Source organism: Homo sapiens, chromosome 4 (assembly GCF_000001405.40).
Source record: "Homo sapiens chromosome 4, GRCh38.p14 Primary Assembly".
Lineage (NCBI taxonomy): Eukaryota > Metazoa > Chordata > Mammalia > Primates > Hominidae > Homo > Homo sapiens.
Genome location: NC_000004.12, coordinates 3762307 through 3789868, shown reverse-complemented (window position 1 = coordinate 3789868; position 27562 = coordinate 3762307). Strand labels below are relative to the sequence as shown.

At 59.8% G+C, this 27562-nt stretch overlaps 1 protein-coding gene and 1 long non-coding RNA gene across 2 annotated transcripts, besides 8 other annotated features; both read right to left on the bottom strand.

Moving 5' to 3' along the window:
* Positions 1628-1747: an enhancer, noted in NCBI's record as "active region_21226". NCBI's record gives its function as "activates an Ori minimal core promoter by ATAC-STARR-seq in GM12878 lymphoblastoid cells {active_cell/tissue: GM12878}" and the evidence as "EXISTENCE:reporter gene assay evidence [ECO:0000049][PMID:35858748]".
* On the bottom strand, positions 6706-9052 carry LOC124900651 (uncharacterized). The gene is made up of 2 exons (XR_007057997.1): positions 8878-9052; positions 6706-7249 (listed from the first exon to the last, which is right to left on the bottom strand). It is a non-coding gene; the product is annotated as an uncharacterized LOC124900651 (long non-coding RNA).
* Positions 8375-9007: an enhancer, noted in NCBI's record as "H3K4me1 hESC enhancer chr4:3782589-3783221 (GRCh37/hg19 assembly coordinates)". NCBI's record gives its function as "activates a minimal SCP1, AML or CMV promoter by ChIP-STARR-seq in naive H9 embryonic stem cells {active_cell/tissue: H9 hESC(naive)}" and the evidence as "EXISTENCE:reporter gene assay evidence [ECO:0000049][PMID:30033119]".
* Positions 15583-16267: an enhancer, noted in NCBI's record as "H3K4me1 hESC enhancer chr4:3775329-3776013 (GRCh37/hg19 assembly coordinates)". NCBI's record gives its function as "activates a minimal SCP1, AML or CMV promoter by ChIP-STARR-seq in naive H9 embryonic stem cells {active_cell/tissue: H9 hESC(naive)}" and the evidence as "EXISTENCE:reporter gene assay evidence [ECO:0000049][PMID:30033119]".
* Positions 16268-16953: an enhancer, noted in NCBI's record as "H3K4me1 hESC enhancer chr4:3774643-3775328 (GRCh37/hg19 assembly coordinates)". NCBI's record gives its function as "activates a minimal SCP1, AML or CMV promoter by ChIP-STARR-seq in primed H9 embryonic stem cells {active_cell/tissue: H9 hESC(primed)}" and the evidence as "EXISTENCE:reporter gene assay evidence [ECO:0000049][PMID:30033119]".
* Positions 18326-19011: an enhancer, noted in NCBI's record as "H3K4me1 hESC enhancer chr4:3772585-3773270 (GRCh37/hg19 assembly coordinates)". NCBI's record gives its function as "activates a minimal SCP1, AML or CMV promoter by ChIP-STARR-seq in naive H9 embryonic stem cells {active_cell/tissue: H9 hESC(naive)}" and the evidence as "EXISTENCE:reporter gene assay evidence [ECO:0000049][PMID:30033119]".
* Positions 19012-19697: an enhancer, noted in NCBI's record as "H3K4me1 hESC enhancer chr4:3771899-3772584 (GRCh37/hg19 assembly coordinates)". NCBI's record gives its function as "activates a minimal SCP1, AML or CMV promoter by ChIP-STARR-seq in naive H9 embryonic stem cells {active_cell/tissue: H9 hESC(naive)}" and the evidence as "EXISTENCE:reporter gene assay evidence [ECO:0000049][PMID:30033119]".
* Positions 20384-21069: an enhancer, noted in NCBI's record as "H3K4me1 hESC enhancer chr4:3770527-3771212 (GRCh37/hg19 assembly coordinates)". NCBI's record gives its function as "activates a minimal SCP1, AML or CMV promoter by ChIP-STARR-seq in primed H9 embryonic stem cells {active_cell/tissue: H9 hESC(primed)}" and the evidence as "EXISTENCE:reporter gene assay evidence [ECO:0000049][PMID:30033119]".
* Positions 21262-21779: an enhancer, noted in NCBI's record as "H3K4me1 hESC enhancer chr4:3769817-3770334 (GRCh37/hg19 assembly coordinates)". NCBI's record gives its function as "activates a minimal SCP1, AML or CMV promoter by ChIP-STARR-seq in primed H9 embryonic stem cells {active_cell/tissue: H9 hESC(primed)}" and the evidence as "EXISTENCE:reporter gene assay evidence [ECO:0000049][PMID:30033119]".
* ADRA2C (adrenoceptor alpha 2C) lies at positions 21343-23484 on the bottom strand. Its single transcript, NM_000683.4, has one exon. The coding sequence runs from the start codon at positions 23260-23262 to the stop codon at positions 21874-21876; it is 1389 nt and encodes a 462-aa protein (NP_000674.2). The 5' UTR covers positions 23263-23484; the 3' UTR covers positions 21343-21873.

Genomic DNA, 27562 nt, shown 5'->3' with positions numbered 1-27562 from the left:
GCAGCCATGGGGATTGGGGAGTAGGTCTGGGCCCTGAGGAGTGGGGTGCAGGGCCTGGAAGCAGCGATGGAGAACCAGGCGAGCCCGGCCAGTCCCCAGGGGGTACGGTGTGAGGGTGGGCAGGCCTGGCTGGGGTTGGGGAAGGGGGGAATGGAGGCGGAAAGGGCTGGGACAGTTCTGAGCAGGACTGGTGGGCTCACCGGGGTCTGAGGTGGAGCAGTTGTGGGCTCAAGTTAGAAGAACACGTGAAGCAGGGTTGAGGGGACCCAGGAAGGTAGACTTGGGGGGCTGGGACCCTGGAGGCCTGCATTAATTTCCTGGGGCTGCCTTCACAGATGATCACAAACTGGGGCCTTCAAACAGCAGAGATGTCTTTTCATGTGTTCTGGAGGCCAGAAGTCTGAGATCCAGGTGTGGTCAGAGCCTCACTCCCAAGGTGTTAGAGACTCCAGGGAGGCTACCTCCTGCCTCTCCAGCTCCTAGTGGGTCCAGGCGTTTCTTGGCTTTTGGGTGCATTGCTCCAGCCTCTGCCTCCATCTCCGCGTGGCCTCCTCCCCATGTCTCTGAGTCTCTGTCTTTTCTTCTTATAAAGACACCAGTTGTTGGGTTTAGGGTGCACCCTCATCCAGTATAAACTCATCTTACCTGATTACATCTGCAGAGACCAGACCTCCACAGAAGACCACAGTTTGAGGCTCCAGATGGACGTGAATTGGGAGGGGACATTATTCACCCCTCTACGGGGATGGAGGAAAACGGTGACAGGACAGGAAGGAGGAAGCTAGGATGGCCCCTTAGAGGAGCTGCTGGGCCAGGTGGCCACTTTCACCCCCTTTCCCCTGCCCCCCATGCCCTTGGCTCTCCGTGGGGTTCATCTCCCAGGTGGCCCCCAGCACCTCCTCAAGGCTCTTTCCTTTTGCAGCGCCTCAGAGCATGTCCAGCACACTGTGCACAGCCTGGAAGGCCTGGGCCAATGAAAAATCAGCAGAGAAACACCAGCTCCCCGACCTAGGTGGGAAGGTTCAGAGGCAGCCTCTGCCACCCAGAGACCGACCTGACAGCAAAGTTGCATCCTCTCGCAGGACGGGAACGAGCTTGAAGGACACCCACTTTAAGCAAGGCCAAGGCTTCAGTGCCACCCTCAAAATGCCACCTCTCCTGCGCTAAAGGAGGGCCCAGGACTTGCCCAATTGCCACTTTACCCCGCTGCAGGCCTCCTTCCCTGCAGACGCGACTGAGTAGATGCCCATCACGGAACTGCCGCTTCCGACCGCATCTGGTCTGGAGACAACCCCACTGCTGCCTCAGCCCTCCTCACATTGCCCAACCGAAGCCCAAACCCTACAAGTTCTGACACCCTCTTACCACCACATCCCACGGCACGCTGTCCCGTGACACACCGAGGAATGAACCTGACCTGTGCTTGGTGTGGCCTTGGACCACCCCTCCCCTGCCGGGACCCAAGCCCAAATGCCTCGCCTTCTCTTCCCAGCTCACTGTCCTCCCTCCCTGCCTGTGCCCCCTGGGGCCACCTCCCAGTAAGCTGCCTGCTCCCAAGCCCTCCAGCCTGAGTCCTGGTGCCAGGCTCCAGATGAGCAGTGTGTGTGGTGTCCACGCCACCGTGACATGGCCTGACTTCCTGCTCTGCTGTGTCCAGAAACAGCAGAGGGGCAGGAGCTGGAGGGGCAGGAGGGGCAGGAGCTGGAGGGCTGGGGCCAGATGGAGCCCCAGGGGCCAGTGCTTTATGTCATCTCAGAAACACAGGGAGCATCTCAGAAGCACAGCCCGTGGCTTTCACTCAACAGATACAACCCCAGCCGCCTCCATCCCCATTCCCTGTGGCCACCCACCTTACCCCAGCCCAGCTCTCCATCCACCCCCTCAGGAAGCTGAACCACGTCTGATCTGCCTGGAGAAAGCCCGGCCTTCCTAACGTGGTTCTTGGCGCCCGCAGGGTGTGGACGTCCCACACCCACCCTTGCCCCGCTCCGTACCACCCACCACATGCATGCTCACCTGAGGCCTCTCCCGGGCTCTTCTCTCCCTTTCCACCTGCTCGACCCTGGCTCATTCCCCGAGCTCCTGACACTGCCTCCAGGAAGCCCTTCCTGGGCCGAGGCACGGCCTCCTCGCCACCCTCCCCAGACAGCAGGCCCATTGTCCAGGGCTGTGTCCGCCCTGCCCCAGGGCGCGGCCTTCAGGGACTGCCCCCGAGGCCTCTTTCATCTTCAAGTCTCCAGGACCACAAGGGAAGTCTTGATGAGGCAAAACTGAAGAAGAGTTAAAAGCTTGTGTCTGCACAGAAAGCTGCACTCAGCTTTATAGCAGCTTTATTAGTGATTGTCAAAACTTGGAAGCAACCACGATGTCCTTCAGCATGTGAGTGGATAAACAAACTGTGCTACATCCCGATAATCGAACATTATTCATGCGCTTTCAAGCCATGAAGACACACGAGGAGCCCTAAACGTATGTTGCTAAGTGAAAAGAGCAAGTCTGAAGAGGCCACACTGCAGGATTCCAACTAGGGGACATTCTGGAAAAGGCAGCACTGTGGAGACTTCGGTAGCACTATGGTAAAAAGATCAGCGGTTGCCAGAGGGGAGGGGGAGGGAGGGGTGAGTCAGCAGAGCCCCACGGGGGACAGTGATGTTTAGGGCAGTGTCACTGCTCTGCACGGTATTATAATAGTGGATGCATGCTACTATATATGTGTCCAGACCCAGAGAATATCCAACACCAAAATCAACCCTAATGTGAACTGTGGGCTTCGGTTAATGACGCCACATCAGTATCGGCTCATCAGCTGGTACCTCCTCAGTACCAGATGCTCGACATGAGGGAAACGGGGGCACATAGGAACCCTCTCTATGATTTTCTCATTTTTTTTCCTTTTTCTGTAAACCTAAACCTTCTTAAGACATAAAGTTCATCATTAATTAAAACATGCAAAAGCTGGTTGGTAAAGACACGAGGTTTTTGCTGCTCTTGAGCATCAATCGGTTTGCGTGTAGCCAGGCAGAAAGTGGCCTGGGGTGAAGCTGGCCTGGTCCCCTGCCTCTGGGTCCAGCCCCCAATTTCCCGCGAGTTTGTGGGGAGGCTGCTTCCAGTGCGTATGTGCTCCAGGTGGGAGGAGGCCAGCTGGGCCTCCAGGCATCTCAGCTTGCTTGGTCAAGGCTGCAGGAGGCTCCTTCCCTCCCTGGGGCTCTCTCCTGAGGGCAGGCAGCTCTCTCCCACTCTGCAGGGATGGTGCAAAAAAGGCTTGGGCCCTACTTGTGGAGCCCCGCCTACCCTCCTCTTTCTCTCTCTGCTTGGATGTTCAGAAACCCACTTTCCAGGAGGGACCTGGCACACAGCACTGCAGCGATGGAAACAGGCCAGGGAGTGGTTGTGAGATGGAAGAGCTGAACCTTTGCCCCCAGCACTGATTGGCTGGCAGCCTTGGCTGCAGCCAGGCCTGGCACAGTGAAAATGCAGAAGGCTGTCCAGGCAGCACCAGCAGGTGGCCACTCAGCTCTGTGCCCAGCACGTCGCCAGCCCTCTTTGTGGCCCTGGGCTGCCAGCCTGGGTCTGCGTGGCCTCTGCTTCTCCCGGGGAAGGGAGCGGCTGCCTGAACAGCAGCATTGCATTTCTCGGCACTGCAGATGACACCAACCTGCAGGAGGCCCCATCTGTGCTCAGGGCTCCCAAAATTCTCTCTGGGCTGGACTTCTCTCCGAGCTTCACACTCAAAGCTCAAGAAGCCTCCTCGCCTTTCTCCCAAGTCCACCCCCTCCTGCAGGAGTCCGGTCATTAGCCTGGGGTTGGGGGGCAGTCTCCATCTCTGTCTTTTCCCTTTCCCTTCCATCCCACCCTCCATAGAGTCCTATTCATAGAGCACAGGGATCATGGCTGGCCCTGGCTGCCCCTCCTCAGCCCTGAGCATGACCATCGCTTTGTGGGAGCTCAATCCATAACCACATTATGGCCAGGTGCATGGCTCATGCCTGTAATCCCAGCACTGTCATCCCAGTACTTTGGGAGGCCGAAGCAGGAGGATTCCAGGAGCCCAGAGGCTGGAGACCAGCCTGGGCAACATGGTGCAACCCTATCTCTACCAAAAAAATATAAAAATTAGCCCGCATGGTTGCACATGCCTACGGTCCCAGCTACTCAGGAGGCTGAGGTAGGAGGAGGGTCGCTTGAGCCTGGAAGGTTGAGGCTGCAGTGAATCCTGATAGTACCACTGCACCCCAGCCTGGGCAAAAAAAACAGACCCTGTCTCTAAATAAATAAATAACTGAATTGGGCACCTGGGCAAAAGTGAATGCCATAGCCACTTGCAGCGACCTGGGTTACTGCTGGGGGAGTGGTCCTCACATGCCTGCTCAGGCTGATGAGACAGGACCCCACACTCATCGAGTGGGACCCGCAAGTGTCGCTGCCTCCCTGGCTTTGCTGATGAGACCACAGAGTTGCCGGGGTGCTCATATCCAAGACAGAAGCAGGGCTGGCCCCGCCCCCGGCTCCCCCACCAAACCTCTGGAAATTGCACCAAGGCCCAGGTGGGTGAATCCCAGTGAACCGAGAATCAGGCCCAAGCAGCTTGGCATCAACCCCAAATCCCGCCTACTCAGGGCCTCAGTTTCCCCATCTGCAAAGTGGTGCTGTCCTCGCCCCAGCCGATCATGCTCCAAATTCGCAGCTGCTGGAGAACTCTCTAGAGGAGAAGGAACAGCTGAGACACAGCTAAAGCAATACTGGCGTTCACCACAGAAAGAGCAGGTTCCATCCACGGAACTTTCTGGAATCCACATGAGTGAGGCCTGCCTGAGAAGCACGTGCAGGATTGGGGTCTCACCCCTGTGACAGTGCAGGACCCAAGTTGGGCCTATGCGGAGGTTCCCAGCGCCTTGGACTTGGTGCTGAGCTCTGAGCCGGAGCCCGAACCACATTTCCTCTTTGAAGGTTTGCTAGAAATCTCAAAGGTCAGCTGTTCTCATGTTTCCAGAATTTATTGATTTTGTCTGGGCTGGAAAGGCAACAAAAAGGCTTTTATTGCTGTTTCTGTGGCTGCACTGGGGAGCGGGGAGAGGATGCACTGCCCCCTGCACCTGTCCCAGGGGCCCGTCGGCCAACATTCAGGCCCCGAGGGGCCCCCATCGCCTGTCCCAGACTCACCCCACCTCACCCGACCGGCCTGTCCTATTGCGTGTCCTCACATGCCTGTGCCAGCTGATGAGACAAGCCCCCACACGCATGGAGCAGCACCTGTGTCACTGCCTCCCTGGCTTTGCTGATGAGGTGATGGAGTCACTGGGAAGGGCGCATCCAAGCCAGAAGGAAGGCTGGCCCCGCCCCCAGCTCCCCCACCAAGCCCCTCCCCACCCCAAGGCTCCGGGGAGTCCAGCTCAGCCTCCTGGAATGAGAGGAGACTCAGGGGCACTCCGAGTGCCTCTGAGAAGGGGACAGCCTGTGACAAGGGTGGGAGAGGCAGAGACGAGAAAAGGAAGGCGAGGGCATGGGCAGGCCGGGCGCAGGGAGCTCTGAGGGAAGCTGGTGCACTGCTGGCCACCGCCTGAACTATCATTCATTCCCTCACTCATTCATTCTTCACTCACGCATCGCTCCAACCTCCTGGACTGAATTCCCCCTTGTGTGCCCAGCCCCGGCTGATGCTGTCCACCCCGGGAACCGTCAGCCCAGGGCAGCTGTCCGGGAGCCCCTGATCCATCACGGGATCAAGTGCTCCAGGTCCGTGCCTTAGGAAGCCAGGGCCCATCCTTCATGCAGCGGGCAGGCTGCACCCGCAGTGTATTCTAGGCTTAGGATCCTATTCTAGGCGGGTGTAAGGAGGCATTGCCTTGGGCCAGCTGGGTGGGGTCCCTCTTCACCCCCGCCCCGGGGCTGTGCTTGCTCGGGTTGTTCCGATTCTCACCGCCCAGGGCTGGGAGGCGCTGCAGACTGTGCGTGGGCGTCTTACAGGCTAGTGAAGCAGCAGTGTTCACATCCTACCTGGACAGGTCCCCTCGACCCCCAAGCCTTGCTCCTCTCCTATAAAATGGGGGTGCTTCAGTCCCCACCCTCGCCGAGCGCTGCTCTGGGGCCGCTGAGAGGCTGATCCCCTTGAGCTGCCATATATTAGACATGCACCACCAGCTGCTGCCATCATGCCGGGTACGTGGCCCTCCCCACGGAGGACAGAGGACCCTCACTGTGGCTGCCGTGGGGACCTGTGCGGAGGAAGCTGGAGGCTGAGGGGCTCACCCCAGGGCTGCTTTTCCCAGGGGGTCCCAGCTTGGTCCCAGCTCCCTGCATGGGTGGCCTTTGTCTCAGCTGCCACCTGTGACTGAGGCTCCTCCCACCCAATTCCTTTCTCCTTTAGGAGTGTCAAACCTGCATCATGGTCTTGTCACAGCCAAGCCAGCCCTGAGCTCCATCCCCTGAAAGGGCAGCCCCTCCGCAAGCCCCTTCCTCCCTCCCAGCCCTGGCACAGGGCCTGGCATGTAGCAGGTGCTCAGTAAACACTCATAGGTGGAGACAGCAGGACAGACGGGAGCTCTGAGTCTCCTCCCCTGCAGTCTTGGTGATGAGCCCCTGCAATGAAGGGGGGCTGCACTGGGAAGTAGTGAGCATCCCATCATCAGAGGCATGCAAGAGGACCAGGATACCCATTTGAGGGAGACTTTGTAGGCACAAGGGTGAAACATGAATCAGCACAAAGTATGGCTTCTGAAAACTTCTTTCTTGCCTCAAAACAACAATAAAGCCCTATGCTGGGCGCTCCAAGCTCCATGGGAACGCTGCAGGTTGAGCAAGTGATTTGGAAACATCGCAGTCAACAAAGCTGCCGTCTCCCGGTGCGCCCCTTCTCGCTGGGTTCTAAATGAAAGCTGTTCATTAGGGCGACAGGTTTACCATCTTGCAATGAGAATTGCTGGGAGGTTTTTCCCCCTGAGGAGGAGAAATCATGTTTGAGTAGCGAGCACAGTTGCAGGGGACAATGTTTTCGTGGCTGTGGCTGTGGGAAGAGCTTTATTTGGGGATTTTTCCTCTCCGTGTCAGCAGCACAGGAGAAAATGACTCCAGTGAGCTTCGCTGCTGCAGTTTTATGGCACCGCCAGGACGCTGGGTCTGAAATTGTGCCCATTGCTCAGAGCTCAGTATCTGTTCCTGGGAACTGGGAGGCAGCGGTCGCATCAGTGTGGTCTGGAGGTTCCCAGGTTGGGGGCAGCACAGGCCTCTGGCCCCGGCTTCAGCAGATCCAGCCCTAGCACAGAGCACAGCAGAGCCTGGGCTCAGGGGAAAAGTCAGGGTTGGGAGCTAGGGAGGGGCCCACCTGGGGAAGGCTTGCTCACTCACTCGCTCAAGCAGGGGCGGGGCTGGAAGAGGGCCCTCAGGGCAGTCCTGAGCCGAGGACACCACTGCCACCAGGGAGCCAGGCCAGAGGCCAGAGGGAGAACTTTCTCCATACAAGCCAGGTTTGAAGGTGGCGCAGAGGCAGGCTGGGGCTCAGCAGCCGAGAGCTCCATGCTCCAGGGGCACAGACCCCTGCCCTCGAGGCTGTGAAGCCCAGGGTGTGGCAAGGGAGTGCCGTGCAGGGCAGGACACCTGGAGGCAACTATCAGTGCAGGCCCAAGAGACACCAGCCTGCAGCTGCTCAGGGGCCAGTGGGGCTTCAGGGAGGAGGTGGGCAAAGCAGTCTTACCTCCCCTGCAGGGCCGCCTCCCACCTGAACGACCGCCTGGCGGCAGTGTCTGACGTCCCTGTGCAGAATCATCTCTGTCCCCACCGGAGGCCCCTGGGGCCGAGTGGCTTCACTGCAATTTTGGGAGCGTGTGGGACCTGCCCTGGGACCCCCTCTTCGTGGGGCTGCCAAGCTGGGGTATCATACTGCAGCCGCTGGTGGTCATCCCAACACTTTGTGGGCATTCATGAGAAGCAGGAAAGCAGGTGGGCACCAATGAAAGGAGACTGACCACTGACATCCACACACCTGGACGCAGAGGGGACTCCCAGCCCCAGCGTCTCAACACGGTGGCTGGAGGAGTGTGATCTTCCTCCCCTTAGTGCTCCTTCCCCAGCCTGGAAGAAGCTTTCAGGGCCTTCCTTCCACTGAAGCCTCAGTTCCCCCAGAGGGCTGGCTACAGGCTCACGTGGGGCCCGAGGGGAGGAGTTTCATGGGGGGGAGGAGTTTGGTGGGCGGAGGAGTGTCATGTGAGGGGAGGGGTTTCATGTGGGGGGAGGAGTTTCATATGAGGGGAGGAGTTTCGTGTGAGGGGAGGAGTTTGGTGTGAGGGGAGGAGTTTCGTGCGGGAGGAGGAGTTTGGTGTGGGGAGGAGTTTCGTGTGGGAGGAAGACGTGGGGAGGAGTTTTGTGTGGGAGGAGGAGTTTCGTGTGGTGGGGAGGAGTTTCATGTGAGGGGAGGAGTTTCATGTGGCGGAAGAGTTTCATGTGGGAGGAGGAGTTTCGTGTGTGGGGAGGAGTTTCATGTGAGGAGGGAGTTTCGTGTGAGGGGAGGAGTTTCATGTGAGGGGAGGAGTTTCTTGCGGGCGGAGGTGTTTCGTGGGGGGAGGAGTTTCATATGGGGGAGGAGTTTCATGAGGGGGAGGAGTTTCGTGTGGGTCCTGTGGTGCTGCCTGCTGAGGGCATAGACATGTGTCCCTCCATTTCTGTTCTCTCCCTTGGCCCGGCTCAGGCCACGTCCAGAGAAGCCACAGAAACTCCAGTAACTGTATGTCAGCTGAGACCCCAACCCAGAGCCGTGGGCGGCTCAGGGCTCTGGGAGGCAGATTTGTGGGGCAGCTGCCTGCCTCCCTGCAAGGTCCATCCCCGGCGAAGTCACAGCCCTGTTGGGAGGGGCTCCCACTGCGTCATGAACGCTGGTCCCCGGCTCACCTCATGTCGGGGGCACCTGGGGATGGAATTCCAATCCCAGCCCCAGCCTAGATCAGCCCTGTGGCAGGTGCGGGCCGCCCTCTGCTCCCAGCCTCGGCCTCCCACATCCTGGGGGATGACCAGGCGCCTCACCGAGCTTTGGGAGACAGGGTCCTGGTAAAGGGTGCGCAGGGTCTCCAAGCTGCACGACATAGCAGGTGCTAAGCAACTCAGCTGTTGGCAGGGTTTGTTAAGAGAGGTGCAGGAATGTGCTGAGGTCACACAGGGGGGACAGGACAGAGCCAGGATCTGAACCCCCCTCAGGGATAGGCCATTCTAGACTCCTGGCATTGCATGTCACAGGCTGGGTGGGGACCTGGCAGGAGTCCAGGGCCAGCCCTTAGGGCAGGTGGAGCCACAGGGCCTCTCCTTCTCCAGGAGCAGAGGTGCCCCATCCTCCTGCCGGCTGGGGGCTGGGCCGAGGCCTCTGGCGAGCCGATGGGAGATAAGAGCTCTGGCTGGAGCTGTGCAGACAGGCTGGTAGTTTTCCGTCATCCCCGCAAATGACAAACCTTGCAGGAGGCCAGGTTGGGCTGGAGGGTCCCTCCTCCTCACCTCTGAGCAATGTGACCAGGCTTACCTTTCCAGAACCTCTGGGCTGGGCTTGGGAGCCAGTCTCTCCCACCCTCTGCAGGCCCCGGTGGCTATGCAGCCACCCCATGGCTTACTGAGCCTGAGAATAAATTTTAACTGGGGTGCTGCACTTTACAGTTTACAAAGCACGCCCACACCCACCTCCAGGAATCTCCTGCCACCCACTGCCCCTGTGAAGTCCACATCAATATCCACATCTACAGATGGAGAAGTTAAATAATGCCAAGAGGACAGAGGGGACTCTGTGCTTGCTGCTCAATTTTTCTATGGATCTAAAACTGCTTAAAAAATAGTCTATTCAACAAAATGTCACGTAAATGGAGCCAGGGAGCACGTTGACTTTGAGGCGGGCTTCTCTGGCTTTGCGGCTCACCCAGGCCTTTGCAAGAAGTTGCAGCTTGCCCTCTTCACTGCTGAGTAGTATTCCATTGTCTGGAGGCACCTGCAGTTTGTTTATCCATTTACCAGTTGTTTAGGGTTGTTTCCAGTTTTTTGCTATTATGAATAAAGCTATCATGAACATTAAAAACAAAACAAATACTGGCCAAGGGTTGCACAGGTGACAGGCTGCAAAGCCCAGCTCAGCAGGGAACCAGCAAAAGCCATGTGGCTGCCTCCAGAGTCAACATGGCCTGGACCTGCCCTCCGGGGAGCCAGCGCCCGAGCTGGCCTGGCTGCTGCACAGCCATGTGACGGCCACATAACGGCCACCTCCTCCCAAGGCTCCCTCAGTGCAGGCCCACAGGAGGCATGGCCTTGGGAGGAGCTAGGACATGGATCACAGCCTTGCAGCCCACAGACTTGCCCACGGGACAGGCCTCATGTTCCTGCACCACCAGTGGATGGACATCAAGGACCCCTCTCCACGCCCAGAGCCACAAACAATCTTAGATGCTGCACCTGTATCCTCACCAGCCCAGGGACATGAGTGTGGACTGCCCAGCCCTGCCCCTCCCCTGCTGGGGTACCTGGTTATTGCTTGACAGCCCCAAGGCTCACATTTCTCAACTGCAGGGGCATCAAAACCCTCCCTGTAGGCCGGGCACGGTGGCTCACGCCTATAATCCCAGCACTTTAGGAGGCCAAGGCGGGTGGATCACCTGATATCGGGAGTTTGAGACCAGCCTGGCCAACATGGTGAAACCCCGTCTCTGCTAAAAATACAAAAATTAGCCAGACGTGGTGGCAGGTGCCTGTAGTCCCAGCTACTCAGGAGGATGAAGCAGGAGAATGGCTTGAACCTGAGAGGCAGAGGTTGCAGTGAGCTGAGATTGTGCCACTACACTCCAGCCTGGGCGACAGAGTGAGGCTCCATCTCAAAAAAACCAAACCAAAACAAAACAAAACAAAAACCCTCCCTGTAGGGTCAGAGTGAGGCCCCAGCACAGCCATGGGGGGAATGGGCCTTCCCTGACCTGGCTAGCACCAGGCACCCTGCCAGGACTTTCCATGGGCTTCTCAAAATTGCCCCCCACACAGCAGGTGCTGTTACAGGCCTTGGGCTACAGCTGGAGAAATCAAGGCAGAAGAAGGAGGGAACGTGCCCCCGTCACACAGGCCCATGTGGGGAGGGAAATGGACTCAGGAGGTGTCATGGGCCAGGGTGTGTCCTCCCCAAATTCCTATGTAGAAGCCCTGACCCTCAGGACCTCAGAATGGGACTGTGTTTGGAGACAGCTTCTTTAAAGGGGTAATTAAGGTAAACTGAGGTCATATGGGTGGGCCCTAATCCAGTCTGACTGGTGTCTGGTAAGAAGGGGAGATGAGGACACAGACACACACAGAAGGAAGACCAGGTGAAGACGGAGCGAAGATGGTGTCTGCAAGCCGGGAGGGAGCCTCAGGAGAAACCGCCCCTGCCAACACCTTGATCTTGGACTTCCAGCCTCCGGAGCTATGAGATGGTAAGCTTCTGTTGTTGAAGCCGCACAGGCTGGGGTATTCCGCTAAGGCATCCCCAGCGGACTCATGTGGGGGCTAACCCCAGAGCACCCGCTCCCAGCTGCTGCTGCTGCAGCTGACCCTATAACCTGCCAGGAGGTGGCTGCCCACCCCAACCCACCTTCGCCACCCCACCCCACCCAGACAGGGCAGGTCCTTGTATAAAACTGCTACAGTTTACAATTTTGTACTTGCTTATGTGATCGTCTATTGCCTGCCCCATCACAAGACTGCACAGGTCATGAGGACAGGGGTGTCTCTGTCTTGCTAACCTCGTGGCCGGTGTGCTGTGGGCACTTGATATATGCTTTTTAGAGGAATGATTATAAATGTGCATTGGTTTTTGCTATATGACAGAATTATAGAAGGGCTTAAACCGTTGCAGGAAATCATGGAGGTTCTGTGTTTTTCTCAGTGTTCTCACGCGCAGCTGATGTTGAATAAACGCTTCTTGAATAAATGAAATGGATGATGGATGAACCAATGGATGGATGGAGGGATGAATGAATGAATGAATGAATGAATGAATGAATGAACGAACTTCCTCTCGGAGAGCAAAGCCAAAGATAGCAGAAGCAGGAGCCTCTGCTGACACCTCACAGATCCGGGAGGGTTGTTGGGGACACAGTCCCATGGGAATTATCTTCCAATCTGGAGTTTCTTCTGCCTTTAGAGAGAAGCCCGGTTAATGCTTGGAGGAGGGCCGGTCTCGTGGTCAGCCGTGTGTCAGTGAGATCCCGTGGAGCGCTGTGCTTAGAAGGGTGCCATGCTCAGAGGGCACCCACTTGGGGTTTCGTGCTCTCCAGTTGCCTCTTGAAATTCTTAACAACCTTGGCTTTGAACTTGTGCTTTTTGAGGGATGTATGAAGGGACCAGACCCTTGGCTCACATGTGATCTCCCCTCTGGCTAACCCCAGGACAGCTGTCATGCCCACTCCCTACCCTGGACACTTTTCCTGGTCTCCTCTCCCCGATCTCATCCTACAAACAGTCACCTACCACCCCTGGAGGGGCCCAGTGAGACCAAGCAGGCATCCCATGGCATCAGGGCAGGGCAGGGTGGAGGTCACCCCTGGCACGGGTTGGCATTCAGCCCACTCCCCATCCAGACATCCAGCACATTTGGGAATTGAGTTTCCATCCCTGGGGACCTCAGGGCAATAGGCCCATAGGCAGGGGAGACTGGCCTCCCTCAGCCGGCGCTCCAAGCTTTCATTTTGCACAAAGCCAGCCCTCCGTCCCTGCTCCTGCAGCCAGTGGGCCTTTGGCCTCTGAGTATGGCCATGTCACAAGCCCATGGCAGATGCTGTGTACCTGGCCCAACCCCACAGGGCTCCCACTTAGGGTGGGAACAAACCACAAAAGTACCCACCCTTTCAGGCGGTGAACACTCCCTGGGAAGCCGCTTCAGCCACTCTTGGGCTTGGGAAACCCACATCTCTGGAGGCACCGCAGAGAGGGGCTCGGGCTGCCTGCTCTAATTCTGATGTCTGGCTTGGTCGCTGAGCAGCCTGGGGACTCGGGCAAGCCAAGCCACTCAGCCTGGCCGAGCCCTCCCTGGCCCGGGATAATAAGAGTGGGCAGGAGCAGGTGCCTCCCTGCTGAGGGGCAGGGACGTCGTTCCTTGAGATGCCCCTCAGTGGTGGGGAGCACGCAGGACACTGGGTAACAACGCCTGGCCTTGCACTGCAGCAATCCAGCCACACGCGTTCCCTGACCTCAGGTCATACTCTCAGCGCTGTGTCTGAAGCCTCTTCCTGCTCTTGAGTGGCTAAGCCAGGGCGTCAACACCTGGATGCCATGGTGGTGTTCTCTGAGAATCACCTGAGGCTGGGTCAGCCTGGGGAACAGACCTTCATGGAGTTGAAGGGGCCCTCATCCCACCCCAAGAGCTGGGTGACCAAGGACTGGCCAGGCGACCAAGGGCCCTTGCCTCAGCAGCCAGCTCCTGCCCGGTAGGTGCCAGAGGAGGTGGACGGGGCAAACACCCCCGGGTCCTGGTGGAGCTCTCTGGCTGGAAGGGTGGTCAAGGGACCAGCAGTCGGGGGACTCAGGTCAGGAGAGGAAGGGTGCATGCAGCATTGCGGAGGCTGGCCAGGCTGCCCAGTGCTCCTGGGTGACTGTGTTGTCCCCTGAGTCCTGTGGCCATTGTGTATCTGTGGCAATCTGAGGGATGCTTTGAGTGAACCAGGGGCATCCTGTGGTGCTGGAGGCACCCCTGCTCCTTGGACAGAGCCAAGGAAGAGGCGAGAAGCGTGTCCGTTACAAGCACGGATCTCCCAGAGGACCCAGACCTGGGAGCCTGGGATCATCAGCCGCATCTGACGGAAGAGAAGACGGAGGTGCGGAGCCTCCCTCCCCGCTACGTCTGCTCTGAAGATGCTGTCCTGCTTCCCCAACCGGATCAGAGCCACCTTGAGGGCAGAACTGTACCTTTGACACATTCACATAAATTCTTCCAACATTTATTAAGTGCCCGCTGTGTGCAGGCCTCTGTGCAGGGCCTGGGAGTGAGGTGAGACAGAAGCAGGCTGCCTGGAGGAATTTCTTCCCATCCTAGGACAGGGCCTGAGCACCCAGGCTATGCACAGTTGTCCAGGGAGCCCCTCCCCTCCAGCCAGGGCCGTCCTCCCCGTGCCCCCAAGGTCAAGTGGCCACTCATCTGGAGGGCCTGTGCCAGGCCAGCTGGAGCTTTTGGGGTTAAGACTAGGTCTGGTCTGCCCAGAACCAACACCCTGCAGAGTCCAGCCCTTTAATGAGCGTGTTTGACATTTGTTCCTGGGGTCTCCAGGGTCCTCATGGCTCTGCACAGAAGCTGTGGGAGGTCAGGGGGGTGGGCTTCGGCCCATTCTCCAGAGGACGCAGGCTCAGGGCGCCACATGATTCAGTGAGGTTTCAAGCCTGAGTCAGGGGCCCCAAAGCCTGGGGGCTGCATGTCCAACTTTAGCAACCTTGAGAAACCTACCCCCGTGCCAGGTGACAAAAGCGTCACCCACAGTCATTCCTCATCCCACCCTCATAAGGGGGTCCCCAAAGAGGCTTCGTCACGAGGCTCTGAAACAGACAGCCCTGAGCGGGCCCAGGTGACATCCATCAACTTCCTACAGCCCTCCTGCCCTCTCCCGGCACATGAGCAATCGTCTGTTTATTCCCAATTTGCAAATTACGCCCCTGCATTCAGCAAACCCCACCTTGGCAGGGAGCCCCAGCCGTGGCACTGGCGACCGCCGGGCTCCGTGGGTTACTGAACGGTATCGAGAGGAGAGAATCCCTCTATTGTTTGCCTCCTATTTGAATAGTGGCGGAAACAACAGCAATCAATTTTGAATAACAGTTTCATTTGGACTAATTAGAAGCGGACTGATTTTGCTTGAAATTCAGTTTGCAATGGCAGCACACTCTAGGAAACGGGTAACTGATTTTTCACCACAAACATGTTGGCATTGTGTGTCCTGGGTGGGGTGATCTTTAAAAGCAGCCTCATTGTTCTGAATTGTTTCTAAGATGACATAATAAACACAGAGCCAGGCCTTATTCCCATTGTGAAGGGGCACAGCTCTGCTGTTTTTATGGAGCTGCTGAAGTTTAAGTGCACGGGTTATGTCAAAAATAATGAAGCAATGCCGGTGGAGTGTGAGCATTGAGCCCCGTCTGATCCCATTGGCTCAACGTGTAATCTAGGCATTGTTTGCAATGGAAAAGGCAGAGCGACAGCTCAAAGTTAGGTGGCGTGGACGCTGGATGTGGAAGATAGAAGACAAATTGGAGAAGTCACGTGCACACTCTGAGCCGGTTTTCTCATCTGTAGAATGAAGCTAATATCGTGGACGGTGACGGCTCGCCGAGGGATCCCCTGTGGTGGGGTGAGTATGGAGCACATTCCAGCGTCTGGCTCTCAGACAGCATCTCTCTATGGCAGCCCCTTTCTGGAGCTCAGTTTTCTCATCTGTAAAATGGGTGCATCGATCCTGCCTGGCAGAATTATGAAAAGCACATGCACAGAGCACCTGGCCCAAAGACTGGCACATGGTGGGCACACATCGAACACTAACTGCTGGGTTCACTGTCATGTCTGCTCTTTGTCATTATTATGCTTGAAGCCACCCCTCTCTGGGCCTCTCTGCAGAGTGGGAAGGGGGCTATTGAATGAGACGGCCCCTCGGGTATCTCTTTCCCCAGCACTCGCTAAGGAGTCTAACAGTTGAGTTAGGCTTCTAAAGGCGGTATGGAAATGCCTGTTTTCATCGATGCTGCAGTCGGTTAAGAGCTGATTAACCGGGGAAAAAGCCCGCCCCCCACAAGAGCAGAGCAGACACTGCAGCAGCCGGGCCGCACGTGAAGTGGAAAATCGTCCCCCGCAGCACCAGCCCCCAGCTCCCAGCACGCCGGCCTCTTGCTGTAAGAAGTTTCTCACCGACAGCCTGGGGGGCCCGTGTCCTGGCACAGTGAGGACGGCAGGAGTGGCTGTTGGATTTGGAGTCCAGAGATGATCCTTTTAGGACTTCCACATGGGAGAGGACAGGTGGCTCCACACCGCGGGGGAGGCCTGCTCTGCCCAGCTGCCGCCTGGCTGGATTACTCACTGTCCCTGTGCCCCGCTGGGCTCCATGCACTGAGCGGGGCAGTGTCTAGTCCAGCCTCTGGGACCTGGGGCTGGGGAGGGCAGGGTTGGAGGCTCCACGGGCGCTCTGGAGACGGGGCCTGGTCTGAGTCGTGAAGGCCATGTGTGAAGCTGTCACGTGACACAGGGCGGGAAGGGCACTCCTGGGGGACAAAGCATTAATTCACAAAGGCGTGGGGCACGGCCAAGCCAGAGCAGGAAGTGGGATGAACGGAGGTGAGGACAGAGGAGTTGGCAGCGATTGTGACCTGCCCGGGAGCCCTAGGAGGGTGGGATTGTGCTGGGCCAGTGTAGGCCGCACAGCCACAGGCCAGTCTGGGACACCGGGCTGGGAGCCACTGCCCCATGGCTGTCCTCCCCCACAGCCTCCCCAGTGCAGAGCCAGGGCCTGGTGGGGAGTGTTGCTGGAATGAATAATAAATGGCCCAGTCTGGTGCAGCTGGAGATGGAGGCCAGGACGGGGATTGGACAATTCCCCCACCCCAATAGGGAATCTGGCATGAATGTCCCGCTGGGGTTCTCTGCAGTCCCCAAAGCCCTCCTCTGGAGGCAGAGTTTCCAGAATTGTGGAGATCTTGTGGGACTGGTGGTCTTCTAGGTGGGTCTAGCTGCCAACTCCTAGTCTATAGACCTTCCTGTCAACCATGCATCAGGTGGTGGAGGGAGTTCGTATCCTGTTCCCCTTTTCTCCATGGCTGCCAGGCAGCTCTGGGCATGTTTTGTGCTCGGACATAAGGGCAGAATGTCTTTAACTGAGCTTTCTGGGCCAGCGCCCCACCTCTACCTTGCATGGTTTGACTCCTTATCAGGACCATCACAACACCATTGTACCCAAGGCTTTTACTAGGAGCAGCCACAAACCCTCTTGGCAGGAAGGAAGGGCATTTTCGGTCCCCAGGGCTTTCTTTTGGCCCGGAGTTTGCAGTTGACTCTGCTTCCCAGGCAGATTTCAGAGGGGTGGCACTGAGCCCTGCTGGAGTAGAGGCCCTGGCCTTGGCAGGAGACACCGCAGCCTATTTACACTGGTGGTCAGGCAGGGCATGCCCCAGGGAGCCTGTCAGATCCCCAGTCTCCCCATCCTCCTCCACTGCCTGCTGCAATCCATGCTCTCCACGGTCCTGCTGGGTCACGGGGGTGCGGACCCCCGGGAGTGGGGCCAGAGGTCCCCTGGCCACTCAAGGGAAACCCGGTGGGAGGACAACGGGGACCTCAAGATGGAAAAGCTTCCCCTGGGCCTTGGAGTCTTAGGCATCTCCCTCCTCTGCTCCTCAGCTCTAGGGACTCTCCTATCTTTGTCAGCCCCCATCTCACATCCATGTCATGACCCTCAGATCCCCCCTGGCACGTAGCGGAGGCTGCCCATGCCTGCCCAGGGACGGTGGAGGCACCTGCATAAAGGGGTACCTGTGGCACTCCGCACAGGGCCCTCCGCACAGGGCTGCTCCTCCCCCACCCCTTGCACGTGGGGGCCACCACGGGCTGACGGGAGTGGGGACATGGAGGGGCCGTGGCTGTCCAACCAGCCTCGAGATGGGCCTGCAGGCGCCGTGTGTTTTGATCCGACACGGCACGGAATATTTGAGCCCTGCCGATGGATGTGATAGAAAAATACAGCCGGCTGCCAGCACAGCCGGGAAGGGCGGCTTCCTCGCCAGCAAGTGCCACGGCAACGTGTTTCCCCCACCCTCCAGCCCCCACCCCCGGAGTCGGGGGCAGGATCCAAAGCCTGGAGCTGCTTCTATAAAGTACTAACATTGCTGCCTGCACCAAGGAATATTTCCTTTTGAATTCCATACTGAGCTGCAATGGAATATTTGGATTCTTTCTTTTCCCTCCTTTCCTACCAACAGCCATAGGATTAAAATACAGGAGTTAATGAAAACATATGCATGTCTATGTATATCTGGTAGGAGCTGCATCTGTGACAGGCTTGGGCCAGGTACACAGGAACCCTGAGCAGGACGGCGTTCGAGCCAGCACCCTCCACACAGGGCAAGCCCTCCTCCGTCGGTAGTGGCTGCTTTATTTTATTTTGCCTGAAATCTCCCAAGAGCCCAACGGGGAGCTCTGCCCAGGAAACCGGTCGTGGAAAACGCTGCTCTGTGGCTTGCTTGGGACGGGGTGAGATCAGAGCCCAGGCTCTCTGCAGAGGGACCTTTCTGAGTCCACAGTTTGCTCTGCCCCCTCACCCCTAGGGGTCCCTGGCCACACAGTCACCTCTAGGCCTCAGTTTCCACAACCACATATGGGGGTTGACATCAGGCCACTCTGGATCCATGAAGTCGGCATGAAGAAGTGAGGCAGGCCCAGGCCTCGTCCGTGGAGAGGAGAGCCACTCAGGAAGTCAGGGGCCGTGGTGGACAGGTCGGCAGAGGGGAGGGCCCTGCTCTGGGCGTTGAGAAGTCCCCTTGGCGGGTGGTTCCTGGGCTGGGTTTGGAGGCACTCGGGGCTCATCTTACCCTCGGGGTGGGTGTCAGTGCCCCCTTCATGGATGAAGACACCAGGACTCAGAGCAAGGTGACACGTGTCCCTGCAGCAGGCAGGGTGAGAAGCCAGGTTTCTGTCTCTGTTTATCCAGCTGAAAAGAAAGTCTCTCCAGGCGGCAACCAAGATCGAGTGGTGAACATCTGCCGGCTGCAGTCCCGGCCATAGCCCTGGAGGGTGTGACTGGCAGGGTCAGGACGGGAAGAGGAGGAAGGTTTGCTGACATTCTTCCCCGAGCGTGTACCAGGCTGCGTGCCCTGCTGTATCCTCGAAGTTAATCTCCCAGGATCCCTGGGTGTGGGGGGGCTGTGGTTATCCCCTTGCAGGGAGGAGGATCTGCAGTTCAGAGGTGACATGCTCAGTCGGCCACACTGCTGAGCAGGTGACAGGGCAGGCTCCAGCCCTGGGAGGTTGCATTTCCTCTGCAGACCTCACAGCCCCCAGGGGGTCAGATCAAAACCTGACACTCTGTCCAAGCACCCTCCCACCAGCTTCTCCCCTGCAGCCTGGCACACGGCCCCTCTGTCCAGCCTCCTGTCTGCATTGTCTCCCCCTCCCCATGCTGGCACCCCATTTCCTAAAACACACTTGCACCTCCTACCTCCAAACCCTTGCTCATCATGCTGTGCCTCCACGTGGGGTCTGCCCTCAGCTGTGGGAAGTTGCCCATTCCTGAAGACCTCCCAGGAGGCAGTAGGAAATGGTGGAGATACTCAAGAAATACTTGTTATCTGGTTGAATTTGGGGCCAGGAAACCTGGGCCCTGTTGGGTCTTATCACCAGCTGTGTGACCTCAGGCAGGTTAATCCACCTCTCTGAGTCCCATGAAATGTACGAGTTATCCCATGAAATGCTGGTGCTCTCAAGGGAAGGGTGCCCTGGGCGGGACTTGGGGTCTTGAGTGCTGGCAGGTGAGGGGTTGGGGGTCTGCCCTCCCGTCTTGCAGTTGTGAGTTTTGGACCCCTCCTGCCGGCTTGGTAAGATGCAGATTCTGGAGCAGAAATCCTGAGCTCTGGAGTCTTTTTCATGTGTGTACAGTGATTCTCTCGCAGCCCAAGGCCTGCCCTCAGAGTGTCCCTGGGTGCGATGTCAGCCATGGAGTCTCTGAGGTGGGGTCTCCTGTGGTCCCAGGCTCAGGGGATAGATTGCCCAACAGATTGGCAGGCCTGGCAGGGCCCAAGAGGGCTCCCAGGACCCCCTCCACTTCCCAGGTGGGGCACCGAGGCCCAGAGAGCAGGGATTTGTCTGAGCCAGTACAACAGCTCCAGGACAAGCTGGGCCAACAGTTCAGGACTCCCTGCCCAGGCCTGGTCGGGGGAGGTCAGGGATGTCCTCATCGGCCTTGACTGGCCATGTTCTCCACCCCTCCCCTGCCCCCACTGCTGTCTGTATCTCCCCACCTGTGTCTGAGACTAGCACACAGCAGGTGTGAGCATTAGCACATGTGCCAGCTGTGGACACGGCTGGGAGAGCTCTTCCCAGCTGGGGTATCCTGAAGACCCATCATCTGGGGTGGAAGCCAGGCAGCTGCGGCGAGGGGGTTCTCCAAGGGCCAACTCTGGCAAGTCAGGTCCCCCTGCTCTGGAACCTGACTTCGCGGACGGGGGCTTGCAGAAGAACACAGGACCCAGGGCTGACCCCTCCCCAGGCAGACCCTGGCCCCCCATGCCAAAGAGAGAGGTGGGTATCCAGGATGGATCTGGGCTGGGCTCAGCAGGCAGGGTCTGGCAGGGGAGGGTACACATAGGGAAGCCCAGGGGGGCCTCCCAGGGATGGGAAGGGGGACGGGAATGGGGAATGGATGGTCACAAGCAGGAGGCCTGACACAGCCCCCACACGCCTACCGAGCTGTCTGTGCGTGTGTGTTGGGGGGACCCCTGCCCAGCTCCTGCCAGGCGCAGGTCCCGCTTTTGCCCCTCCCCTCCAGCCATCCTGGCAACTTCCAGGCCCTGTGACACGGCTGAGTCTGAGTGGTCCCTACACCATGAAGGCCCAGCACCAGGAAGCCCACCTTGGTATTCTGTCCCCCACTTTCCACTGCCCTTCCTCAAGCAGCAGTGTGAACAGTGTGGACACCTGCTGGGCCTGACGGTGGAGCAAGGGGGAAAGGCAGGGCTGCACTGGGAAGACCCTGGGGGCACCACAGGAAACAGGCCGGCCCCAGGCCCCTCTCCAGACATTGCTGGTTTGTTCCACTCCACTGCTCTGGGGCCTCAATGACTTTCAGTTTGTTTCGGAAATAAGAAAGTGCCTGTTGTTCAACCTGGCTCTGGCCAGGCCTCTGGCCTAAGAGTGATGGTGTGGGGGCTTGCCGGCCTCACGCCCACCCTCTCTCCACCCAAGAGCCACGCCCACAAAATGTTCAGAGCCAGGAGGACTAGCTCAAAGCTACTCTCAGTCTTGGACTGGAAGAGCCCCACCTCTTTCCACCGGAGGCCCTGAATATCAGAGTGGGGAAGGGCAGGGGGCAGGGATGGGAATGCAGGGAAGACAGTCCCCCAGAATCTAAACTTGGGGTCAACTTGGGGGTTCTAGGCTCCTTTCACCTCTTCGCTACTCTCAGCACAGGAATTTTGAGTACATATTTTCCATGTACATAAAGGGTTAGCTTGAGAAAAAGCAAGACCCCTCCTTCTCATGCAAGAAGGAAGTTGTAACCCGGAGGCCCAGGGTGCCCTCCGTCCAGCATTGTGGGGTGGGGGAGATGGGGGAGGGTGTCAGGCAGGGTGAGGGTCTGGAAGATACCCCCAGCCCCCAAGCTCAAGGACTGACTGCGGCACCCAACATTAGATTACAAAGGTTTATTTAGAAAATAGTTTGGTTGTTTTGGCTGTTGTTTTTGGCAAACATTTAAATACTTTCAGTAATCAAAGATTGTCGGTGCTTTCTCCTTGCCCCCTGGCAGCCACCCCCCGACTAGGTCCTGGAGAAGTCAGCCCTTGGTCAGACGGGGATGGGGAGTGGTAGTGTCTTTGGGGGGCTCCTTGCTTGCCCATTTAGGGGGCTACCTCTGCCACTGCTCTCTAAAACCCTGACCTCACAGCCACACCTCGGCAGGGCTCCCAGAGCTGGATCCAGGCAGGGAGCCCCAGAAGCAGCCCCTTGCTGAGGGGGGAAGGCAAAGGGGTCTCCCCCTCTCTCCTCCCCACTCCCTGGAGCCCGGCTATCTCTCTGCCAAGCTCCTGCCCTGCCGCACCCTCCCCTGCGCCCTGGAGGCCAATCCATCCCCGGGTCTCTGGGAAAGCTCCCCCGTCCGGGCCGCCCCTTCTGCCCAGCCCCGAGCGCGGAGCTGTCCAGGATTCCCAGACGGGTGCGAGTCACTGCCTGAAGCCCCTTCTCCTCCGTCGGAAGAGGATGTGCTTAAAGGATCGCCGGAAATCCTGGTTGAAGACCGTGTAGATGACCGGGTTGAGCGAGCTGTTGCAGTAGCCGATCCAGAAGAAGAACTTGAAGAGCGGGCCGGGCACCTGGCAGGCCTCGCGGCAGATGCCGTACAGGCTGTAGCTGAAGAAGAAGGGGAACCAGCAGAGCACGAACACGCCCATGACCACAGCCAGCACAAAGGTGAAGCGCTTCTCGCGCGCCTGGGCCACCTTGCGGCGGCACACGCTGCTGCGCGCCCGGCGCCGGCGCGACAGGAAGAACTCGACGGAGCGCGAGCTGGCGCGCGACAGGCGGCCACCGGGCCCCGGGGACCTGGAGGCGGTCAGCGCCCCCGACTCAGCCGCCCCCGGCCCCGCCCCCTGCCCGTCCGCACCGCCCGCGCCCCCCTCCGCGCCCGCTCGCCGCCGCCCGCCCCGCCGCAACGCGCCCCGGCGCCGCCGCCTCTCGGCCGCTGCGCTGCTCTCGTCCGGCTCCACGTCGGCGGGCGGGGGCGCGCAGTGCCCGTTCTCGCCTGCGCCTGCCGCCGCGCCCAGCCCGTTTTCGGTAGTCGGGGACGCACCGTCGGGGCCCACGGGGGCGCGCTTCTCGCTGAGCGTGCGCGTGCGCAGCTTGGCCACTCGGTAGATGCGCGCGTAGACCAGGCCCATGATGAGGCAGGGCGCGAAGAAGGAGCCGATGCAGGAGGACAGGATGTACCAGGTCTCGTCGTTGAGGCCGCACTGCGGGTAGGCGGCGCCGTCGGGCTGGCGGTAGAGCGAGACCAGCGGCGGGAAGGAGATGACGGCCGAGATGAGCCACACGGCCACGATGGTGGCCTTGACGCGGCGTGGTGTGCGCTTCAGGTTGTACTCGACGGCCTGCGTCACCGACCAGTAGCGGTCCAGGCTGATGGCACACAGATGCACGATCGACGAGGTGCAAAACAGCACATCGAGCGCCAGGTACACGCCGCACCACACCTGCCCGAAGTACCAGTAGGCCATGAGCTCGTTGGCCAACGAGAAGGGCATGACCAGCGTGGCCACCAGGATGTCGGCCGAGGCCAGCGACACCAGGAAGAGGTTCTGTGGCGCGCGCAGCGCCCGGCTGGTCAGCACGGCGATCACCACCAGCACGTTGCCCACCACGGTGAAGACGATGAGGAAGCCCACCACGGCAGCCAGCCCTGCCACCGCGCCCGCCGAGTACTGGCCGCGCGGCGGCCCCCAGGAAGCCCCCGAGGCATTGGCAACCCCGCCGCTGCCCCTCTCGCCCGCGCCGCTCGCATTGGGGCCCGCCGCTGCCGCCACCGCCAGCGCCGCCGCCAGCGCCGGGGACGCCATGGTCCTCCCGCGAGCTACGCCGTCCCTCCTGGAGCCGGGGCGCAGCCGCGGCAGCTCGGGCGCCCCCCAGCCGGGGTCGGCGCCCGCATCGCCGCCTGCTGCTCGGGCGCGCCCGCCGGGGACCGCGGCGCCCAGCAGCCGGCCCTCGGCCGTGGTGGCTCCGCGGGCGGCGCGCCGGAGAGCGTGGCTGCCGGGCTCCCCGCAGCTGCCGAGCGTGTAAGTGCAGAGCAGGAGGCGCCCGGAGCGAGCGGCGACGCGGCTGCGGGGGGAGGGGGGCAGGTCCCGGGGTCCTCGCGCGGCCCCGCCCTCGGCCCGGCTCACGGGGAGCGCCCCGGCGTCGAGCCCACGGCGACGCGGCGCCCGAGCGGGCGTGCCTGAGCGGCCCCGCGGTCCCGGAGCCCAGCCGGGGCGCAGGCGACAGGCGGCGGCGGCCCGGGCGCTCCGCCTCCCATCCGGCCGGCTAGGGCTCGGCGCGCCGGGGCGCCGGCCGCCGCTCCTCCGGGCCCCCGCGCCCGCGCGCTCCCTCCGTCTCCAACTTTACTTTCCCGGGCGGGGCGCCGGCGCCGCCGCGAGTCCTCCGGCTGCTCCCGGGCGCGGGCGCCCCCCGCGGTCCACGCTTGGCCGTGCGGCCGCCGCCTCGCTCGCCGGAGCTGCGCCGCCGCCGCCGCCGCCGCCCTGCGCTGGGCGCGAGTGCGGCCGCCTGCGATCGGCTTCCAACTTGGGTCGAGTTGCGCAGCGGGGCGGGCGCGCGGGGCGGGGCGGGCCGCGGGCCCTGGGGAGCTGGCCGGGAACCGGAGCCCGCGGCCGCCTGGTCGAACCTGCCCGCGCGGCGCCGGGGAGGAGTCCGGGGCGGCGGCGCGGGGCGCGCGCTCGGCGAGGGCGCCCCCTCCAGGGCCGCCTGCAGCCTGCGGGACGGGGCCGAGCGGCGGCCGGCCTGGGTGGTGAGTTCCAGAAGCTGCTCTTTCTAAGACTGGAGCCTCCTTCGCCTCCCCCGGCGCAGGCATGGGCGCAGGCGGGGGCGCGCACACGCGCGCGCGCAGCACGGGCGGCTCGGGGTCCATGGCCTGATGGCAGAGCAACCTCTCGCAGCCTGGGGGAGGACGCGACGCTACCTGCGTGCGCACAGGTCCTGCCGAGCTCAGGGTCCGGACCAGATCCTGGATCGGCGCTCCCCGTCAGAGCCACCTCCGCACCCACCCCGGCCTCAGTTCCCTCGGCCCACTTCCCAGCGCTGCTGGAGCATGAATCATAACTAACGGCGGTGTCTGTGGAAGCCCTGGGCAAGCTCCCAAGCTCTGCACCCATGTTAGCAGTGATTGAAGTTTAATCCTTAGGCTCTCAGGCCCTGCTTTTAAAGGATGGAGAGGTGTTCAAAGTCACCACCTCTGACAAACACCCAGAACGGAGCTGCCTGGATGATGGAGCTTTTTGCAAGGGTGGGCTCAGGGGAGAGCGGCCGTTGAGGTAGCCCCCGTGCACCCTCGCCCCCGTCCGCGCACCTCCATTCTGCAGATGTGCACTGCCACGTGCACTGCCACTCTGTGGCCCATGTTGGGTGCTGGCTTCTGCCTCCAGGCAGCCTGGGGTCTGTGGGAGAGGGACTTCCAGGGACGAGGTGATCCAGGAGGAGAGCTGGAGTTCTCAGGCCTGACGTTTCTCTGCTAGGACCGAAGGGACGACCCTTCTCCCAAACGTCCAGAAACGAACCCCAGCTGGCTGGCCTCTCCCTGCATGGGCCCGCAGGAGAGAGGGAGGGAAGGTCTGTCCATCCTGTGGCTAGAACCGGCGGGGAAGGGGCGCTTCTGAGTGCCCGGGAGGTCATCATGAAGAGCGGCTGGAGTGACTGCCCTACCCCCGGGATGCCTATCCATGCCCGTGGCCTGGGGCAGCTTCTCTCTGAGCTCCTGAAGGGCGCCAGCTTTAGCCTCAGAGCCTGTCGTGTTCTCTGCTGCTCAGCCCTACTGGGGAGCATGTCTGTCTCCGCAGAGACACTGCCAGGAGCTACGGCTTCGTTCTTCACCATGTTTGTCACCAGCAGGGCCTGCATTGGGGGTGTGGAGGCCGAGCCAGGGCCCGGCAGAAAGCAAATATTTCAGATGATGGGCCTGCCAAGCAGGGGCGCACGTTGGAGCCAAAGCCTTCTGTGCCAGTCCTGTGCTAGTCTAGGGCACATATGCCCTTCGGGGAGGCAACAGGCCATGGCTGTCCTGTGGGAGGTGTGTGACCTGGGGATGGTGGAGGGTCACCATCCTTACTAAAGGCCCTCCTGGTTCTGGTTGCCTAAAAGGTGCCACCTGTCCAGGGCACCTGGAGGTGCATTTTTCAGGGAAGCCCACACACACCTGCTTCCTTCATGGTCGGCCCGCTGGAGCCCTTGTCTCTATTGAGCCCTCTGCGATGGCAGAGAGTGAGGGGGGCCTGGCCTCAGTTGAGGTGCTCACCATCTGTGGGTGGATGGGGCCACCCACTGAGGTGAATGCGCTGACAACCATCAGTGCCCTGGGGCTCCTCCCCCAGCCTGGGAGCGGGGTTGTCAAGGAAGCCTTCCTGGAGGAGGTGACCAAACTGTGCTTAGAGAGTGAGGAGGTGTTATGAGGAAGGGGGAGGCCTCTGTAGGCTGTCCTTCTTCCAGTGGGAGTGGGCTTTGTACTGGGGGCGTGGGGAGACAGGAGGACTAGGAAAGAGCAGTGGCAGGGGCCAGATGCAGGCTTTGGAGAAGGTCTCTCTCCCTCGGCATCAGCGTGCCTCCCACCCCCATCCTGAAGGGCTCTCTTTTTGAGAAGTGCTTTGGGGGATGCGCAGGGGCATGGGGATCTATCTAGGATCCTGGCTCCTATGTTCCCAAGAGATGGCAGCCCAGGCACGGGAATTTGGAGGGAAAAGGACACGGAGCACCTGGGGCCCTGAGCCAGATGAGCCTCCCACTGCCCAGGAGGGCTGAAGGCAGGGGCCACTCACAGGCCAGGCTGAGGGCATCTGGAGTGCCTGGCCAGTGAGCGGCCCAGGCCCTTGGGGATGGCAGCCAACAGGCTGACATGCTGCTGGCAACACCTCCTGGCATGACCAGGGAGGGGTCAGAAGGGTCCACTCCAGGGCCTGGATGGAGCCAAGGGCAAAAAGCTGGGGCCTGGAGTCATTAGGAGGAGCGAAGCCCTGGGCCATGCATAGGGGTTGCATTGCACGCAGGCCTGCCTGTGGTGGGAGGGCCCGGGACCGCAGCTGTTTGCAAGGAAGCTGGAGAGGACTCTTCCCCCAGACCTTGAAATTAGGCTTGAGGAACTGCTCCGGATTGTCCGTAACAAGCAGAACAGCACGTACCCAGCAAGACTTCCTGTCCTGACGAGGCACGACGCGAGCTGGCACGACCAGGAGGGGCGAGGAAGGAGGGTGCTGGGGGAGTCAGGCTGCACTGGCGGGGGTTGTGGGGGCTGTCTGTGTGTACGTGTGCAGGGGAGTACATGGCAGAAGTGGGCATATTTCAGAGGGGAAACCTACAGGTGTTTCCTAGAACTGAGAACCTAGAAGTGGCACGTCCTGGAGCTGCAGAGGCGAACCTGCCTGTATCTCACCCATGATGCGTGGGGCCTAGGAGGACAGGGTTGGTCCAGCAGGGCCATACAGCCATGGGACATTGGGCCCTGGCTGCTGTGCCGGAGAGAGCTGGGTGCCTGCCTGGGATGCCGCGCTCTAGGCTTCGTGAGCAGCCTCAGCTCGGGTGGAGGGGAGTTTGGCTCCTTGAGCCCCCTCCCTGCACATGCAGGCATGCATGCACATACGCAGATGTACAGTGTCCACACACATATATGTATCCACACACATCCTTGTGCACACATAGATCCATGCACACACATGAATATACATATCATGAATACACGTGTGTTCATGCAAGCATGAACACCCATACATACACATATCCACACATGCATGCAAGCATGCAACCTATTCATGCACACTTGCATGCCTTCACACACACATGCATGCACACATCCACACACACACTGTCTACATATACCATGTGGATTTACAGTGCATCCATGCCTACAGAATATACACACATGTATGCACACATACATGTTCCCACACATGCACACATGCCTGCGTGTGCATACACATGCCCGTGTACTCTTCACATGCAGGTGCATATATACATATGCACTATCATACACACGTGCTTTTTGCACACGTATGTCTACACATGCATATGTATCACACTGGCATATGTAGAAATGATGCACCCATGCTGTGCACACACCTGTGCATACTGCGGGCACGCACAGCCTTCCCTGTGCAGATAACACGA